At 45.5% G+C, this 16,942-nt stretch overlaps 1 protein-coding gene and 1 pseudogene across 1 annotated transcript in view, besides 4 other annotated features; both read left to right on the top strand.

Moving 5' to 3' along the window:
* C1QTNF3 (C1q and TNF related 3) overlaps window positions 1-16,942 on the top strand; it is a 226,867-nt gene that overhangs the window by 55,287 nt on the left and 154,638 nt on the right. Inside the window, exons 3-6 of the transcript NR_146599.1 lie at window positions 6,571-6,758; window positions 10,341-10,425; window positions 13,481-13,616; window positions 13,901-13,993. The gene's annotated coding sequence lies outside the window, so the exon portion shown is untranslated. The remainder of the gene's footprint in view (window positions 1-6,570; window positions 6,759-10,340; window positions 10,426-13,480; window positions 13,617-13,900; window positions 13,994-16,942) is intronic.
* Window positions 898-1,066: a silencer, noted in NCBI's record as "fragment chr5:34188477-34188645 (GRCh37/hg19 assembly coordinates)". NCBI's record gives its function as "represses an EF-1alpha promoter that drives an FKBP-Casp9 reporter gene in an ReSE screen in HepG2 liver carcinoma cells {active_cell/tissue: HepG2}" and the evidence as "EXISTENCE:reporter gene assay evidence [ECO:0000049][PMID:32094911]".
* Window positions 6,191-6,800: an enhancer, noted in NCBI's record as "H3K27ac-H3K4me1 hESC enhancer chr5:34182743-34183352 (GRCh37/hg19 assembly coordinates)". NCBI's record gives its function as "activates a minimal SCP1, AML or CMV promoter by ChIP-STARR-seq in naive H9 embryonic stem cells {active_cell/tissue: H9 hESC(naive)}" and the evidence as "EXISTENCE:reporter gene assay evidence [ECO:0000049][PMID:30033119]".
* Window positions 6,570-13,616, top strand: GUSBP18 (GUSB pseudogene 18; annotated as a pseudogene).
* Window positions 7,287-7,436: a silencer, noted in NCBI's record as "fragment chr5:34182107-34182256 (GRCh37/hg19 assembly coordinates)". NCBI's record gives its function as "represses an EF-1alpha promoter that drives an FKBP-Casp9 reporter gene in an ReSE screen in K562 erythroleukemia cells {active_cell/tissue: K562}" and the evidence as "EXISTENCE:reporter gene assay evidence [ECO:0000049][PMID:32094911]".
* Window positions 8,881-9,871: an enhancer, noted in NCBI's record as "H3K27ac-H3K4me1 hESC enhancer chr5:34179672-34180662 (GRCh37/hg19 assembly coordinates)". NCBI's record gives its function as "activates a minimal SCP1, AML or CMV promoter by ChIP-STARR-seq in primed H9 embryonic stem cells {active_cell/tissue: H9 hESC(primed)}" and the evidence as "EXISTENCE:reporter gene assay evidence [ECO:0000049][PMID:30033119]".

Genomic DNA, 16,942 nt, shown 5'->3' with positions numbered 1-16,942 from the left:
AGGCGGACGTGGGGGGTCGTGCAATAGGTACTGGAGGGAGAGACGTGGGCACAAAGGTCGCGGGAGGAACAGGTGCCCACAATGGCTGCAGATCTGCCCGTGGATCACTGAAGATTCCTGCTCTCCTGCTGAGGTGGAGACTGCAGTGAGCTGAGATCGCACCATTGCACTCCAGCCTGGGCAACGAGTGCAAAACTCAGTCTCCAGATAAAAAAAAAGAAAAAGAAAAAAAAGAGGCCGGGTGTGGTGGCTTATGCCTATAATCCTAGCACTTTGGGAGGTCGGGGTGGACGGATCACGAGATCAGGAGTTGGAGGCCAGCCTGGCCAACATAGTGAAACCCCGTCTCTAGTAAAAATACAAAATTTAGTCAGACATGGTGGGCAGGAGAGAGCATGTGCAGGGGAACATCCATTTATAAAACCATCAGACCTCATGAGACTTATTCACTACCATGAGAACAGCATGGGGGAAACTGCCTCCATGATTCAGTTATCTCCACCTGGCCCCACCCTTGACACATGGGAATTGTTACAATTCAAGATGAGATTTGGGTGGGGACAGAGCCAAACCATATAATTCTTCCCCGGCCCCTCCCAAATCTCATGTCCTCATATTTCAAAAGCAATCGTGCCTTCCCCTAAGTCCCCCAAACTCTTATTTCAGCATTAACTCAAAATTCCATAGTCCAAAGTCTCATCTGAGACAAGGCAAGTCCCTTCCACCTGTGAGCCTGTAAAACCAAAAGCAAGTTAGTTATTTTCTAGATACACAGGGATACAGGCATTGGGTAAATACACTCGTTTCAAATGGGAGAAATTGGCCAAAGCGAAAGAGCTACAGGCCCCATGCAAGTCCAAAACCCAGCAGGCAAATCTTAGAGCTCCAAAATGACCTCCTTTGACTCCATGTGTCACATCTAGGTGATGCAAGAAGTGGGTTCCCAGGGTCTTGGGCAGCCCCGCCCCTGTGGCTTTGCAGGGTACGGCCCCCCCTTCTGGCTGCATTGAGTGTCTGCAGCTTTTCCAGGCACACAGTGCAAGCTGTCAGTGGATCTACCATTCCGGGGTCTGGAGGATGGTGGCCCCTTTGTGACAGCTCTGCTTGGCAGTACCCCAGTGGGGACTCTGTGTGGGGGCTCCAACCCCATATTTCCCTTTGACACTGCCCTAGCAGAGGTTATCCATGAGGGCCCCCCGCTCCCGTGCACAGCAAACTTGCCTGGATTTCCAGGCATTTTCATACATCTTCTGAAATCTAGGCGGAGGTTCATGAACGTTAATTCTTCGGTGCATCTGCAGGCTTAACACCACCTAGAACCTGAAAGGCTTGGAACTTGCACCCTCTGAAGCCATGGCCTGAGGTGTACCTTGGCCCCTTTTACCTGTGGCAGGAGCAGCTGGGATGCAGGGCACCAGGTTCCTAGGCTGCACACAGCAGGGGGTTCTGGACTCACAAGAGCATTTTTCCTTCTAAGCCTCCTGGCCTGTGATGGGAGGGTCTGCTGTGAGGGTCTCTAACATGCCCTGGAGACATTTGCCCCATTGTCTTGGTGATTAACATTTGGCTCCTCATTACTTATGCAAATTTCTACAACCCAGTCTCCTGAGAAAATAGATTTTTCTTTTCTGTTGCATCATCAGGCTACAAATTTTCTGAACTTTTATGCTCTGCTTCTTCTCGAATGCTTTGCTGCTTAGAAATTTCTTCTGTCAGATACCTTAAATCATCTCTCTCAAGTTCAAAGTTCCACAGATCTCTAGGGAACTCTAGAAAAAAATTCTTATTTTGACTCTTTCCCGCCTATCTTATGCCCGTTTCTAATACAGGTGCACAGTGCCTGCAGTGTCTTTGCATAGTAAGAGTGACTTTACTCCATTTCCCAACAAATTCCTCATCTCCCTCTGAGACCACCTCCGCCTGGACCTTATTGTCCATATCACTATTAACATTTTGGTCAAAGCCATTCAACAAGTCTCTAGGAAGTTCCAAACTTTCCCACATTTTCCTATCCTCTTCTGAGCCTTCCAAACTGTTCCAGCCTCTCCCTGTTACCCATTTCCAAAGTTGCTTCCACATTTTCGGGTATCTTTACAGCAGCAGCCCACTCTACTGGTATCAACTTATTGTATTAGTCTGTTCTCACACTGCAAATAAAGACATACCTGAGACTGGGTAATTTATAAAGGAAAGAGGTTGAATTGACTCACAGTTCTGCATGGCTGGGGAGGCCTCACAATCATGGTGGAAGGCAAGGAGGTGCAAAAGCATGTCTCACATAGTGGCAAGGCAGGAGAGAGCATGTGCAGGGGAGCTCCCATTTATAAAACCATCAGATCTCATGAGACTTAGTCACTACCACGAGAACAGTATGGGGGGAACCATCCCCATGATTCAGTTATCTGCACCTGGCCCCACCCTTGACACGTGGGAATTATTCCAATGCAAGGTGAGATTTGGGTGGGGACCCATCCAAACTATGTCAGTATGTTTTGACTTCTGGCTTGATTGCTAGGTTGCATAGAGGACAAACATGGAAATTAATGAAGTACCTTAATATCTGGCTTCAGATCTTAGACAGGATCAGAGGGCCAGCTCAAATTTGCAAGGAGGGGAGGTAGATCCCACCATTTTATGGGTGAATGGCAAAATCAAACAGAAATTATGTGGGATGGGAGATACTGATGCAGGCATCTTTGGAAACATTCTACTTAGCTAATTTTATGCTAGGCTTTAGGTCAAGAAGGAGAGAGAGAGCTGACATGCTGTGGTACACACTTATAGTCCCAGCGACTTGGAAAGCTGAGGCAGGAGGATTGCTTGATCCCAGGAGTTTGAGGTAGTGTGCGATGATCGTTCTTGTGAATAGCCACTAGCCACTGAACTCCAGCTTGGGCAACATTGAGACACCCTGTCTCTTAATTTTAAAAAAAAAAAAAAAAAAAAAAAGGAGGAAAGAAAGTGGTCTCAGTTTTTAATGTAAATATTTTTAATGGGATAATGATATTTTAAGATTAATGTATATTGTATATCAGTTAACTATAGGTCAATAATTATATAAAACTTAAGGTACGAAAAACATTTATTTTTGCTAACATATCTGTGAGTTGACTGTTCCTGGCTTGGTGAGGCTGCGAGCTGCAGATAGAGTCTAGGTATGTTTTCTGTGTGTTTGTTCCCCCTTGGATCAGTGGACTACCTGAGAATGTGTTTTTGTCACAGTGATAGAATCACAAGGAAACTCCAGTTCTGGAAGTACATTTTAAGCCATTGCTTCTATCATGTCCACTAACATTCAGTCAGCCAAAGCACATACCTTGTCCATGGCTAACATTGATAGTATAGATAAATATACCTGATCTCTAGCAGGAGGAACTGCATTGTCTTGGGGAAAGGTTTTAGATATAGGGAGGGGTGATGAGTTGGGAACAATAATGTAGTCTGCCACAAACATATTAAAGTGTAACTGGATATGGTTGCTGCAGAATTTTGAACCTTTGTTTTAATTGTGATTTTTACTCTTTTTCCCCTATCTAGTGCCCTTTTGTAATACAGTAATTCTCATGATTTTTGTCTGAATTGAAATCTTCTGAGATTAGATTGTCTACGAAAATACAGTCTATCCTCCTTGTTTTCAGCTTTTGTATTTGTGAACTCACCTACTATTTTTTGTAACCCCCAAATCAGTACTCACAGCCTTTCATAGTCATGTGTTTGCGCAGAGTGTCAAAAGAATTTGAGTTTGAACAGGATGATATTCTGCCTTCTTTTTCAGCTCTCATACAATAGTCAGGTATCCTTTTTGTGGTCTATTTAATGCCATGCTTTTCCTGTTTTTGTATTGTTTGTTGGTTGTTTTGCCATTTAAATTAACCCCCAAGCATAGTGCTGAAGTGCTGCTTAGCATTCACAAGTCCAAGAAGTCTGTGATGTGTCTTACAGAGGAAATACATGCATTGAATAAACTCCATTCAGGCGTGAGTGCTGTAGTGCCATTGGCTGTGAGTTCAATGTTAATGAATGAACAATGTATATTATTTATTTATTCTTCATTTAATTAATTATTATTATTTTTTTTGAGATAGAGTCTCACTCTGTTGCTCAGGCTGGAGTGCAGTGGTGCAGTCTTGGCTCACTGCAACCTCTGCCTCCTGGGTTCAAGCGATTCCCCTGCCTTAGCCTCCCAAGTAGCTAAGACTACAGGCATGCGCCACCATGCCTGGCTAATATATATATATATTTTTTGTAGTTTTAGTAGAGACGGGGTTTCACCACGTTGGCCAGGCTGGTCTCGAACTCCAGACCTCAAATGATCTGCCCGCCTTGGCTTCCCAAAGTGCTGGGATTACAGGCATTAGCCACTGTGCCTGGCCAACAATATATATTAAATAAGCACACATACAACAAAAGTAGGTGTTGGTAAGCTTACAAAAATGTGACCAGTAGCTTGCTGAAACCTAACTTTTTATTTGTTCATGGAACTTTCTAGACCGTAACTACACTGAATAATGAGAATCTGCTGTAATCTTTTTAGGTGCTGTAGATGAGCCATTGGATTAAATTATTACAGTATGTTTCAGACTGCTCTATGTTGAACCCTAGTGAAATGCCTCTCAAACCCTCCTAAGGATCACAATCTCATGTCCTTTTTTTTGTTATTAAATGCCCAGTATGTGTTAGTGATTTAAACAAAATTCAAATTTTTTTTTTTTTTTTTTTTTTGAGACAGAGTCTCGCTCTGTCACCTAAGCTGGAGAGTGCAGTGGCATGATCGCGGCTCACTACAACCTCTGCCTCCCGGGTTCAAGCGATTCTCCTGCCTCAGCATCCTGAGTAGCTGGGATTACAGGCGCCCGCCACCACGCTGGGCTAATTTTTGTATTTTTAGTAGAGACGGGGTTTCGCCAGGTTGTGCAGGCTGGTCTGGAACTCCTGACCTCATGCGATCTGCCTGCCTTGGCCTCCTGAAGTGCTGGGATTATAGGCGTGAGCCACCATGCCCGGCGTTGACTTTTTAATAATAACCATTCTGACTGGTGTGAGATGGTATGCCATTGTGGTTTTGATTTGCATTTCTCTAATGATCAGCGATATTGGGCTTTTTTTCATATGCTTGTTGGCCGCATGTGTGTCTTCTTTTGAAGTGTCTGTTTATGTCCTTTGCCCACTTTCTAATGAGATTTTTTTTTTCTTGTAAATTTGTTTAAGTTCCTTATCAGTGTTGGACATTAGATCTTTGTCACATGCATTGTTGCAACAGTTTTCTCCTATTCTGTAGGTTGTCTGTTCACTCTGTTGACAGTTTCTTCTGCTGTGCAGAAGCTTCAAGAAGAAAGGAATCCGATTGGTTCTGTGTCTGTCTCTTTTGGTATTCTCAGACTTATGTAGTCATCCATATAGAAAGGTGATTAGGAAAACAGCACAAGAATAGCAGAAATCTACATAAAAATGTAGGAAATTAAAATTAGTTACCAGCATACAAAAAACTACTATATGTTATAATTACATACTATAACTCACCCCTCCTTGCCAAATATTCTCTCTCTTTTGACTTCAAAATCATGGCTTATATGTACTTTCTCTATTTCCCAGATGCAAATATAATTAATTGACTTTATTTATCTAGGAAATATTACTGATATCTTAATTGTAGTCATTGGCTTGAGTGACGGGTTTTGGTAATTCAACTACTATTACTTGAAAGTAGTAGATTTCATAAGATACTGTTATAAAATCTTTTTAACCTCTTTTCTGATTTCAGGAGTAATTAGTAATTGTGGTTTACTGGAAAATTCAATGAATAGCGTGTTAAAGGAAGCAATTCGTTAATAATATATCTAATCTATTGGGAGACTGAGGCGGGTGGGTCACCTGAGATCAGGAGTTCGAGACCAGCCTGGCCAACATGGCAAAACTCCGTCTCTACTAAAAATACAAAAATTCGCCGGGCATGGTGGTGCATTCCTGTATTCCCAGGTACTCGGAAGGCTGAGGCAGGAGAATCACCTGAACTCCAGAGGTGGAGGTTGCAGTGAGTCAGGATCGCAGCACTACACTCCAGCCTGGGTGACAGAGTGAGACTCCATCTCAAAAAAAAAAAAAAAAAAAAAGAAAATTAAAAAATTAAATTAAAAAAAAGCGGGCCGGGCGCATTGGTTCAGGGCCGGGCACGGTGGCTCAAGCCTGTAATCCCAGCACTTTGGGAGGCCGAGGCAGGCGGATCACGAGGTCAGGAGATCAAGACCATCCTGGCTAATGTGGTGAAACCCGGTCTCTACTAACAATACAAAAATTAGCTGGATGTGGTGGCAGGTGCCTGTAATCCCAGCTATTCCAGAGGCTGAGGCAGGAGAATCACTTGAACCTGGGAGGCAGAGGTTTCAGTGAGTCCAGATCATGCCACTGCACTCCAGCCTGGGTGACAGAGCGAGATTCTATCTCAAAAAAAAAAAAAAAAAAAAGCAACAGAAGCAAATGAGAGTGCCTGGGAGTGGTCATTGTGGGGCATTCCTGTTCGTGTGACCCAGGTCATGTCCCTCCCTAAGCCCTGGTCTCTCTTGCCTCCTGCAGGGCTGGTGAATTACCATATCTCCGTCAAGTGCAGTAACCAGTTCAAGTTGGAAGTGTGTCTTTTGAAATCAGACAACAAAGTCGTGGACAACCAGGCTGGGACCCAGGGCCAGCTGAAGGTGCTGGGTGCCAACCTCTGGTGGCCGTACCTGATGCACGAACACCCCGCCTACCTGTACTCGTGGGAGGTAATGGTGGTTTGGGACTTGCTTAAGGGAGGTCTTTAGCTCCCATCTGGTAGCCCTGGCTTCAGCAGGAGCCCAGGACAGGTGAACGGGCAGGTGTGGTCCTCTGAGCTTTTCTGAGCTTTCTGATGTTTCCCACCCTTGGCGGGAGGCCCAGATTTTTTATTTATTTATTTATTTATTTATTTATTTATTTATTTATTTATTTGTGATGGTCTCACTCTGTCACCCAGGCTGGAACGCAATGGCCTGATCACAGCTCACTGCAGCTTTGAGCTGCAATCCTCCTCCCTTGGCCTCCTGAGTAGCTGGGACTACAGGCACATGCCACCATGCCTGGCTAATTAAAAAAATTTTTTTTGTAGGCCGGGCATGGTGGCTCACGCCTGTAATCCCAGCACTTCGGGAGGCTGACGCGGGCGGATCACTTTAGGCCAGGAGTTGGAGACCAGCCTGGCCAACATGGTGAAACCCCGTCTCTACTGAAATATGAAAATTTGCAGGGCATGATGATGCACGTCTGTAATCCCAGCTACTCGGGAGGCTGAGGCAGGGGAATTGCTTGAACCCAGGAGGCAGGGGCTGCGGTGAATTGAGATCATGCCACTGCACTCTATCCTGGGTGACAGAGTGAGACTGTCTCAAAAAAAAAAATCCTTTTTATAGAGTTGGGGGTCTTACTAGGTTGCCCAGGCTGGTCTTGAACTCCTGGACTCCGGTGATCCTCCTGCCTTAGCCTCCCAAAGTGTAGGGATTCCAGGCATGAGCCACCTCGTCTGGTCAAGGAGAAGGCCTGATTTTGAAGGGCAGGTCCCAGGGTCAGCCAGTGAAGGGCAGAGCCTCTGATTGCTGCTTCTCTGCAGGCCCAGAGGCGACTTCTGGGGTGCATGCACGAGGGGTCTTCCTGCTGTAGGGCAGGCCAGATGGGGCTCAGGCTGTCGGGGCGCTCACACCTGGCGCTTTGGCTGTCATAGGTGCGGCTGACTGCACAGAAGTCACTGGGGCCTTTGACTTCTACACACTCCCTGTGGGGCTCCGCACTGTGCCCGTCACCGAGAGCCAGTGGGTGAGAGCCAGTTTCATTTGCGGTAGAGGCAGCAGAGGTTGTAGAAATGCTCCTTGAGGCAGATGCCACACCCCAATTTCATGGAGTGATTTGGGCTGAGCCGAGTCTGCAGCAGGCAGAAGGCTCTGAGATGTTGTCCTAGCCTGGGCAAAGGACAATTCAGAGCTCGGGGGAATAGGGGTGTGCTCAGCACGACTGGGTGGACGGGCCCTTTGTTGTGAATCGTACAGGCTTCCAGGAGCGGGTGCCTGAGGCTTCCAGACAGGCTTTGGGAGGTGGCCAGAGGAGATGCCTGTTTCCGGGGCAGGAAATGGAGGGAGCGCCCAGGCTGGAGAGGTTCAGCCAGGCTGTCACAAGGCTTTGAAGCTTCCCATCTGAGAGCCTGGCTATTGGAGAGTGTGGGTTTGGAACTTGAGGCTAGGAGGTTCTGTTCTGTCCTGTGCCAGCCACAGCCTTCGGATGGGCAGAGCAATGGTGGGGGGAAGATGTAAAAGAAAAGAACTGAGGAAAGAAGAAGAAAACCAGCTTCAACAACAGTCTAGGCCGGATGCGGTGGGTCACGCCTGTAATCCCAGCAGTTTGGGAGGCTGAGGTGGGTGGATCACCTGAGGTCAGGAGTTCGAGACCAGCCTGGTCAACAGGTAGTGAATCCTGTCTCTACTAAAAATACAAAAATTAGCTGGGCATGGTGGTGGACGTCTGTAATCCCAGCTACTAGGTAGGCTGAGGCAGGAGAATCGCCTCAGGTGAACCAGGAGGCAGAGATTGCAGTGAGCTGAGATAATGCCACTGCATTCCAGCCTGGGCTACAGAATGAGACTCTGTATCTCAAAAAAACAAAACAAAACAAAAACACAACAGTCTGTTCTGTGGAGGCCTTGGGCAGATGCTGGGAGCTCTGAGCACAGACTGGTCCCTCTGTTGGGAGCCTCTTCCCTTCATCCCTCCTGGTTAACTTGACTCAGCATAAAGGCCATTTCTTCTAAGAGCCTGTCCCTGACTCTCCAATCGGGGATGTGTCTGTTGTCTCATAGAGTGCCCAATTCCTGCCACCATTTGTCATTTCCATTCGCAACATTTCTTTCATTGTTTGTTTTTCAGAGTCAGGGTCTCACTGTGTTGCCCAGGCTGGAGTGCAGTGGTGCAATCATAGCTCGTTGCCATCTCGACCTCCTGGGCTTAAGCGATCCTCCCCTCTCAGCCTCCCAAATAGCTGGGACCACAGACGTGCGCTGCCTTGCCAGGCTAAATTTTAATATCTTTTTTCCCCCACGAGTCAGAGTCTTGCTCTGTCTCCCAGGCTGGAGAGCAGTGTTGCGATCTTGGCTCACTGCATCCTCTACCTCCTGGGTACAAACAGTTCTCCTGCCTCACCCTCCCGAGTAGCTGGGATTACAGGCTCACGCCACCATGCCCAGCTAGTTTTCTTCTTTATTTTTTGTTGAGATGGGGTTTCACCCTGTTGGCCAGGCTGGTCTCGAACTCTTGAGCTCGTGATCCACCTGCCCTGGCCTCCCAAAGTGCTCACAGGCTTGAGCCACCATGCCCGGCCCTAATTTTTAAATTTGTTGTAGAAACAAGGTCTTGCTATGTTGCCCAGGCTGGTGTCAAGCACCTGGTCTCAAGTAAGCCTCCCAAAGTGCTGGGGTTCTAGGCGTGAGCCACCTCGCCTGGCACTTGCACCGTTTTTCTGTGCATGCATCTCCACTCCTACTGCCCAGGACCTGTGGACTTAGATTTGAGTCATTACTGAGCACCTAGCACCCAGCCTCATGCCTACCTCCCACCTCGCACTACCTGTTTGCTTGATGCATTAATAAATATTCCACCTGAATCCACAGCCCATTCACTCCTGTGTTCAAGGGCTATTTCAGGAAGTGAACCTCATTTTTGGCAGTGTTCAGTCCAGTGACCTCAGCTGTGTGTACCTGGCAGGGTGGCTACGCCTCTGGGGGAATTGGATTCAGGTGTGGGGGAGAAAGAGTGTTGTTAGAGAGCTTGGTCTAGGACTAGAGGAACGTGCCCTTATGTAAAATACATCTCAAGTTAGGGAAGAAAGCAGCGGCTCTGTGCTTTGTTTTTTTTTTTTTCTTTTCTTTTCTTTCTTTTTGTTTGTTTGTTTGTTTGTTTGTTTTGGGGCAGGGTCTTGCTCTGTGGCCCAGGCTGGAGTGCAGTAGCGTGATTTCGGCTCACTGCAACCTCCACCTCCCGGGTTCAAGCAATTCTTGTGCCTCAGCCTCCCGAGTAGCTGGAGTTACAGATGCGTGCCACTAAGCCTGGCTAATTTTTGTATATTTAGTAGAAATGGGGTTTTGCCATGTTGGCCAGGCTGTTCTTGAACTCCTGACCTCAGTGATCTGCCTGCCTCAGCCTCCTGAAGTGCTGGGATTACAGATGTGAGCCATCATGCCTGGCCCCCAGTTGTGTTCTGGCAGGGGAAGATGGGACAGAGAGGATGGGAGGGTGTCTGAGCCTTTCCCGGACTGACGGAACCTGTGTCTTCTCTCTTTTGTGGACAGGATGGTGATTGCTCACACCAAAGCCTTGGACCCCTCCCAGCCTGTGACCTTTGTGACCAACTCCACCTACGCAGCAGACAAGGGGGTGAGCCTGGGGGTCCCCACCCCATTTCTCCCTGCCTTTGCCTGGGCTTGTCCTGAAGCCTGCTCATGGGAACAGCTGGAAAGAACCATGTGCTGCCAGTCTGAGCTTTTTATTTTGTTTTACTTAGAAAGATAGAGACAGGGTCTTGCCATGTTGCCCAGGCTGGTCTCGAACTCCTGGGCTCAAGTGATCCTCCTGCCTCGGCCTTCCAAAGGGCTGGGGTTACAGGCGTGTGCCACCGCACTCAGCCGCAGCCAGTCTGTTTTCAAAGATGGTCTTTGGGTTAATGACAATTCTCTCTCTGCTTACTCTCCAGGCAGTGTGGCTTTCTGAATCCAAGGAGGCTGGGCATAGGGAGATGGGATTTGTTTGCCCAGTTTGGACTCAGCATTTTTTGTACTCGATTTAATAGACTCATAAAATGTCAAAGGTTTAAGTGAGCTTAGAGTTCATCTGGCCCAAACCTGGCTGATCAGAATCTCCAGGGGAAGTTTTATTGAAATGCCAGATCTCTGCATTCTGAGATCCTGATTTAGTAACTCCAGGGTTGGAGTTGACACACAGGGAACAGCCACCCACAGTGGACTGCACTGTTCTGTTTGCACCCTTAAATTTATCGTGCTTACAGAATGACACTTCTGCAAACTAGTCAAGTAAGGGGAAATGGTTTGTGGATATGCACCCTTGTTCATTCTCTTTGAAAAGGTAACCAGCTCTGAATTCTTTCTCCTTTGAGGAGGAGTTTCAGTTGTCACCCAGGCTGGAGTGTAGTGGTGCAATCTTGACTCACTGCTACCTCCGCCTCCCAGGTTCAAGCAATTCTCCTGCATCAGCCTCCCAAGTAGCTTGGATTACAGGCATGCACCACCATGCTCACCTAATTTTTTTTTTTTTTTTTTTTTTTTTTTAGTAGAGATGAGGTTTCACCATGTTGGTCAGGCTGGTCTTGAACTTTTGACCTCAAGCGATCCACCTGCCTTGGCCTCCCAAAGTGCTGGAATTACAGGCATGAGCCACCATGCCCAGCCCCCGTTCTGAATTCTTAAGAAACTCGAGAGGGTCTAGGTCAGCATTGATAGAACCTCTGCAGTGCTGGGTGTGGTGGCTCACACCTGGAATGCTAGCCCTTTGGGAGACCGAAGTCAGAGGATCTCTTGAGCCCAGGAGTTTGAGACCAGTCTGCACAACATGGACCCCATCTCTACAAAATATTTAAGATGAGTTGTGGCTGGGTGCAGTGGCTGACGCCTGTAATCCCAGCACTTTGGGAGGCTGAGGTGGGTGGATCACGAGGCCAAGAGTTCAAGTCCAGCTTGACCAACATGGTGAAACCCCGTCTCTACTAAGAAAACACAGAAATTAGCTGGGTGTGGTGGCATGTACCTGTAATCCCAGCTACTCAGGAGGCTAAAGCAGGAGAATCGCTTGAACTGGGGAGGTGGAGGTTGCAGTGAGCCGAGATTGTGCCACTGCACTCCAGCCTGGGCGACAGAGCAAGACTCCGTCTCAAAAAAAAAAAAAAAAAAAAAAAAGTTGGGTATGGTCGTGCTTGCCTCTAGTCCCAGCTACTTGGGAGGCTGAGGTAGGAGGATTGTTTGAGCCCAGTAGGTCAAGGCTGCAGTCAGTCTGCCATAATTGCACCACTGTACTCCCACCTGGGTGACAGAGTGAGACCTTGTTTCAAAAAAGAACCTTTGCAATGATGGAAATGCCCCATGTCTGCACTGTCTGAAATGGTAGCCACTAGCTACATGTGGCTATTGAGGTCTTGATATATGACTAGGTTAACTGAATTTATTTGGTTTAATTTAAAAAAATTTTTTTTTGAGACAGCCTCACTCTGTTGCCCAGGCTGGAGTGCAGTGGCGTAATCACAGCTCACTGCTCAACCTCCTGGGCTCAAGTGATCCTTCCTCCTCAGCCCCCCAAGTAGCTGGAGCCACAGGCATGCGCCACTACACCTAGCGAATATTTAGCCTTTTTATAGAGACTGGGTTTCACTGTGTTGCCTAGGCTGATCTTGAACTCTTGAGCTCAAGTGATCCTCCTGCCTCGACCTCCCAAAGTGCTGGGATTACAGACCTGAGCTACCATGCCCAGCCTGGTTTAGTTTAATTTCATTTTTCATTCATTCATTCATTCATTCATTCATTCATGAGATAGGGTCTTGTTCTGTCACCCAGGCTGGAGTGTAGTGGTGCAAACACAGCTCACCACAGCTTTGACCTCCGGGACTGAAGCAGTCCTCCCACCTCAGCCTCCCAAGTAGCTGGGACCACAGGTGTGTGCCTCCATGCTTGGCTAACTTTTGTACTTTTTGTAGGCTAGTCTTGAACTCCTAGGCTCAAGCAGTCCTCCCACCTCCATCTCCCAAAGTGCTTGGATGACAGACATGAGCCAGCACACCTGACCTAAAGACGTATTTTTCCTTCTAGTGTAGTTCAGCCTTAAGACTGTATCAGCAGATAGAGACGGAAAAGTAAGAAAAATTGAGTATCAGATTATATTTATAAATAAAGCAGTTACTAATTGATGTTTTTTTTTAAACCTCCTTTTTAATTCTGGGTTACATCATTCCTTGGCTTTTTTTTTTGTATTTTTTTTTTATTATTATACGTTAAGTTTTAGGGTACATGTGCACATTGTGCATGTTAGTTACATACGTATACATGTGCCATGCTGGTGTGCTGCACCCACTAACTCGTCATCTAGCATTAGGTATATCTCCCAATGCTATCCCTCCCCCCTCCCCCCACCGCACAACAGTCCCCAGAGTGTGATGTTCCCCTTCCTGTGTCCATGTGATCTCATTGTTCAATTCCCACTTATGAGTGAGAATATGCGGTGTTTGGTTTTTTGTTCTTGGCGATAGTTTACTGAGAATGATGATTTCCAATTTCTCCCTGACTGTCTTTACCCTAGCATCAGTGAGTCCTGCAGTCACTACAGCCCCCAGTGAGGACAGATATTTTGGTCACCATCAAGTGGATCTTTATTTTTATCTAACATTTACAATTCTGCCAGTTCTTACTCTTCTCTTTGCCTTGATTCCCAGGATCCACCTCTGATGTTCAGTGAAGAGTACCAGAAAAGTCTGCTAGAGCAGTACCATCTGGGTCTCAATCAAAAACGCAGAAAATACGTGGTTGGAGAGCTCATCTGGAATTTTGCCGATTTCATGACTAACCAGTGTAAGTGGCAGTTTAGCGCATGGGATAATGTACCCGTCCTCATTTTTTCAGGTTGCCTTGCCCATTCTGGACATTTTGGCTGTAAGAATATTGGAAACAAAGGGGGGAAGCTGGTTTAATCCATGTAGGTTGTGTTGAGAATTTCCTAGGAAAAGTAAGTTGTGCTTAGGAAGTAGGAAAGGAGTCAGGTCCCCGCTTCCCACATACGGTCAAAAAGCAAACATGAGAGTCTGCTATAGTGAGATGGAAATGGCTAGCTTGCCTTTTTCTTGTCTATTTCATAGCCAAGGATGAAGGAAACACTGGACCTCATTATGGATTTACTTTTGGGATACACTCATCATTCCAGAGGAGGGTAAAAGGCTGAGAAGCTTAAGGTATTTCAGTCTGTTTTATGTTACTCATTTGCGAAAAGCAGGCTCATCGAATACAGGTGAGTTTCAACGCTTCTTGAATATGGCAGCATTTAAAAGTCTTCAGACCGCATGGTGGCTCATGCCTGTCATCCCAGCACTTTGGGAGGCCAAGGTGGGAGGATTGCTTGAGGCCAGGAGTTCGAGACCAGCCTGTTCAGCATAGGAGGACCCCCATCTCTACAAAAACTAAACAGATTAGCTAGGTGTGGTGGTGTGTGCCTGTAGTCCTAGCTGCTTGGGAGGCTGAGGCAGGCGGATAGCCTGAGCACAGGAGTTGGAGGCTGCAGTAAGCTGTGATTACACCACTGCACTTGAGCCTGGGCAACAGAGTGAGACCTGTCTTTAAAAAAAAAAAAAGGAGCTGGGCACGGTGGCTCATGCCTGTAATCCCAGCACTTTGGGAGGCTGAGGCAGGCAGATCATGAGGTCAGGAGATCGAGACCATCCTGGCTAACAGTGAAACCCTGTCTCTACTGAAAATACAAAAAAAATCAGCCGGGCGTGGTGGTGGGCGCCTGTAGTCCCTGTAGTCCCAGCTGCTCGGGAGGCTGAGGCAGGAAATGGCATGAACCCAGGAGTTGGAGCTTGCAGTGAGCCGAGATTGTGCCACCGCACTCCAGCCTGGGCGACAGTGAGACTGCTTCTCAAAAAAAAAGGGTCTTCAAAGACAATAAGATCTGTGCTCTCACGTAGGGTGGATGAGAGGCTGCCAAGTTAGCAATGAATGTTTCCCATTCCTTCTTAGTTTATGGACTTTCCATAAACTCAGGATGGCAGTTTGGTTGGTTGGAGAAGGATATGGTGATGGCGGGAGTTACAATACATTACTTATAGGGGAAGATAGGCTTTTGAAAGGTTAAAGCTTAAAAGTGAGAATGGAAAAGGGATGAATGAATGAACATGATGAGGTGAGAGGGAAGAAGTAGAGGGAAAAGGAGAACAAGAAACTCTTCTCTGCGTGGCACCTAGGATGAATGGTTTCTGGGGACATCCCTGATGGCAGTTTTGTGGAGAGGTGCAAAGCTTTATGTGGTAAGAAATGAGCTGTAGGCTCAGTGCAGTGGCTCACGCCTGTAATCCCAGCACTTTGGGAGGCCGAGGTGGGCGGATCATGAGGTCAGGAGTTCGAGAGCAGCCTGGCCAACATGGTGAAACCATGTCTCTACAAAAAAATAGAAAAAGAATCCCTGCGTGGTGGTGAGCACCTGTAGTCCCAGTTACTCAGGAGGCTGAGGCATGAGAATCGCTTAAACCTCGGAGGCGGAGGCTGCAGTGAGCTGAGATGGTGCCACTGCACTCCCGCCTGGGTGACAGAGCTGGGTGGTGGCTCAAGATATGTTTTGTAAACCTGAAGATTTGAGATCATATAAGCCAAATCGAAACTTAATTGGCATTCACAACTTTTGGTTCTAGAGACTCCATGATCAACTAAGAGCCACCAAGCATTTCCCATGTAGACTATTTTGACCATGCTGACTCTACTGACACTTTGGTTACTGAATTCACTTTATCTCTAGAAATTAATTCTTACTAATGGATGTCTGTCACTGTAAGATCCTTCTATCCTCTGAAATAAGGAGAACATTTTAACTTCAGTAGTTTAAACTAGTGTCCTAAACTATAGCATTCAAAATGAGATAATATGCTAAAGTAATACACAAACCAAAAATCCCAGTGGCTAACACAAAAAGTTTTTCTTACTCATTTTACTCATTCTTACTCATTTTACATATCCATACAATAGAAGTATATGTCTTTTGAATAGCTTTTATTTTATACTAATTATTTTATAATACATTCACTTCAAATTTTGGTTTAAAGTGTTTGTCATAGATATAGATAAAATAAAACAAATGGGAAATTGATTTTATGGTCTTGAATGAGACGATTATATTAATCTAGCAAATGAGTTAAATCAACAACAGAATTTTGAAAAATATGTAGTGGGTAATAGCTAATAATAATGTTTTTATGTGTAACTGATTTTATAACATTCAACCAAGTTTGTTTTTGTTAGGCCTGATAATATCAGAAGTAGTATATTTGTAATTTCAGTGTTTATTACTAATATTATACATCCCTCAATTGGCATAATTATAATATTTTAACTAAAATATACTGTGAAATTGTACATTCTAGGCACTGTGCTGGGCTTCTGGCAAAATTATAAAGTTGCTTTACTAAATTCATACATGCGGAAATCTAATATAAGTTTTATACATATATTTTTTATCATAAGAGTGTATAGTATTTCTTAGGGAATTTCAATGAACCTGGAAAATCTTATATACTTTAGTGCAACTGTAAGTTACTACACTTGGAGAAAAAAATTATTGATATTTTCATAGTGCAAAAGTATACATATGTGCTAGTCTGAGCATCTAGATTAAAAGTCCACCCTTGAACCTAAAATAAAAGTTAAAATATTTTTAAAAAGAATCTATCCTACAGAAGTAAAGGCATATATGTGATCCTCGATATACAAGAATGCTTTCACAGCATTGTTTATGATGGCAAAATAAACCGGAATTAAACATGAGTTTCTTCAACAGGTAATTGGTAGAATAGTTTTTGTATCCTTATAATGGAAAAATTTTAAGATATTAAAAGATAAGTTAGTTTGCATGTATTTACCTGAAGCTATGTCTGCACCTATATGCAAAATAGGAGTTTGCAAAATAATATACATGATATCATTCACTTCATACAGAGTATTGGTTAACACGTTAAAGAATTTTCTGTGTGGGACCAAGTTAAGGAATTTACATGCATTGGCTGATTTAATTCTCACATAAATCAGCTGATAGAGCAGTTTTATCATTCTCATTGCATCCCTGAATCTTAGGTGCATAGAGGTTCAATAAATTGCCTGGAGTTACACAGGGAAAGAATAAAGTTACTCAATTATTA

Source organism: Homo sapiens, chromosome 5 (genome assembly GCF_000001405.40).
Source record: "Homo sapiens chromosome 5, GRCh38.p14 Primary Assembly".
Lineage (NCBI taxonomy): Eukaryota > Metazoa > Chordata > Mammalia > Primates > Hominidae > Homo > Homo sapiens.
Note: the sequence above shows the minus strand (reverse complement) of the source record. Positions and strands in the feature narration are given on the sequence as shown.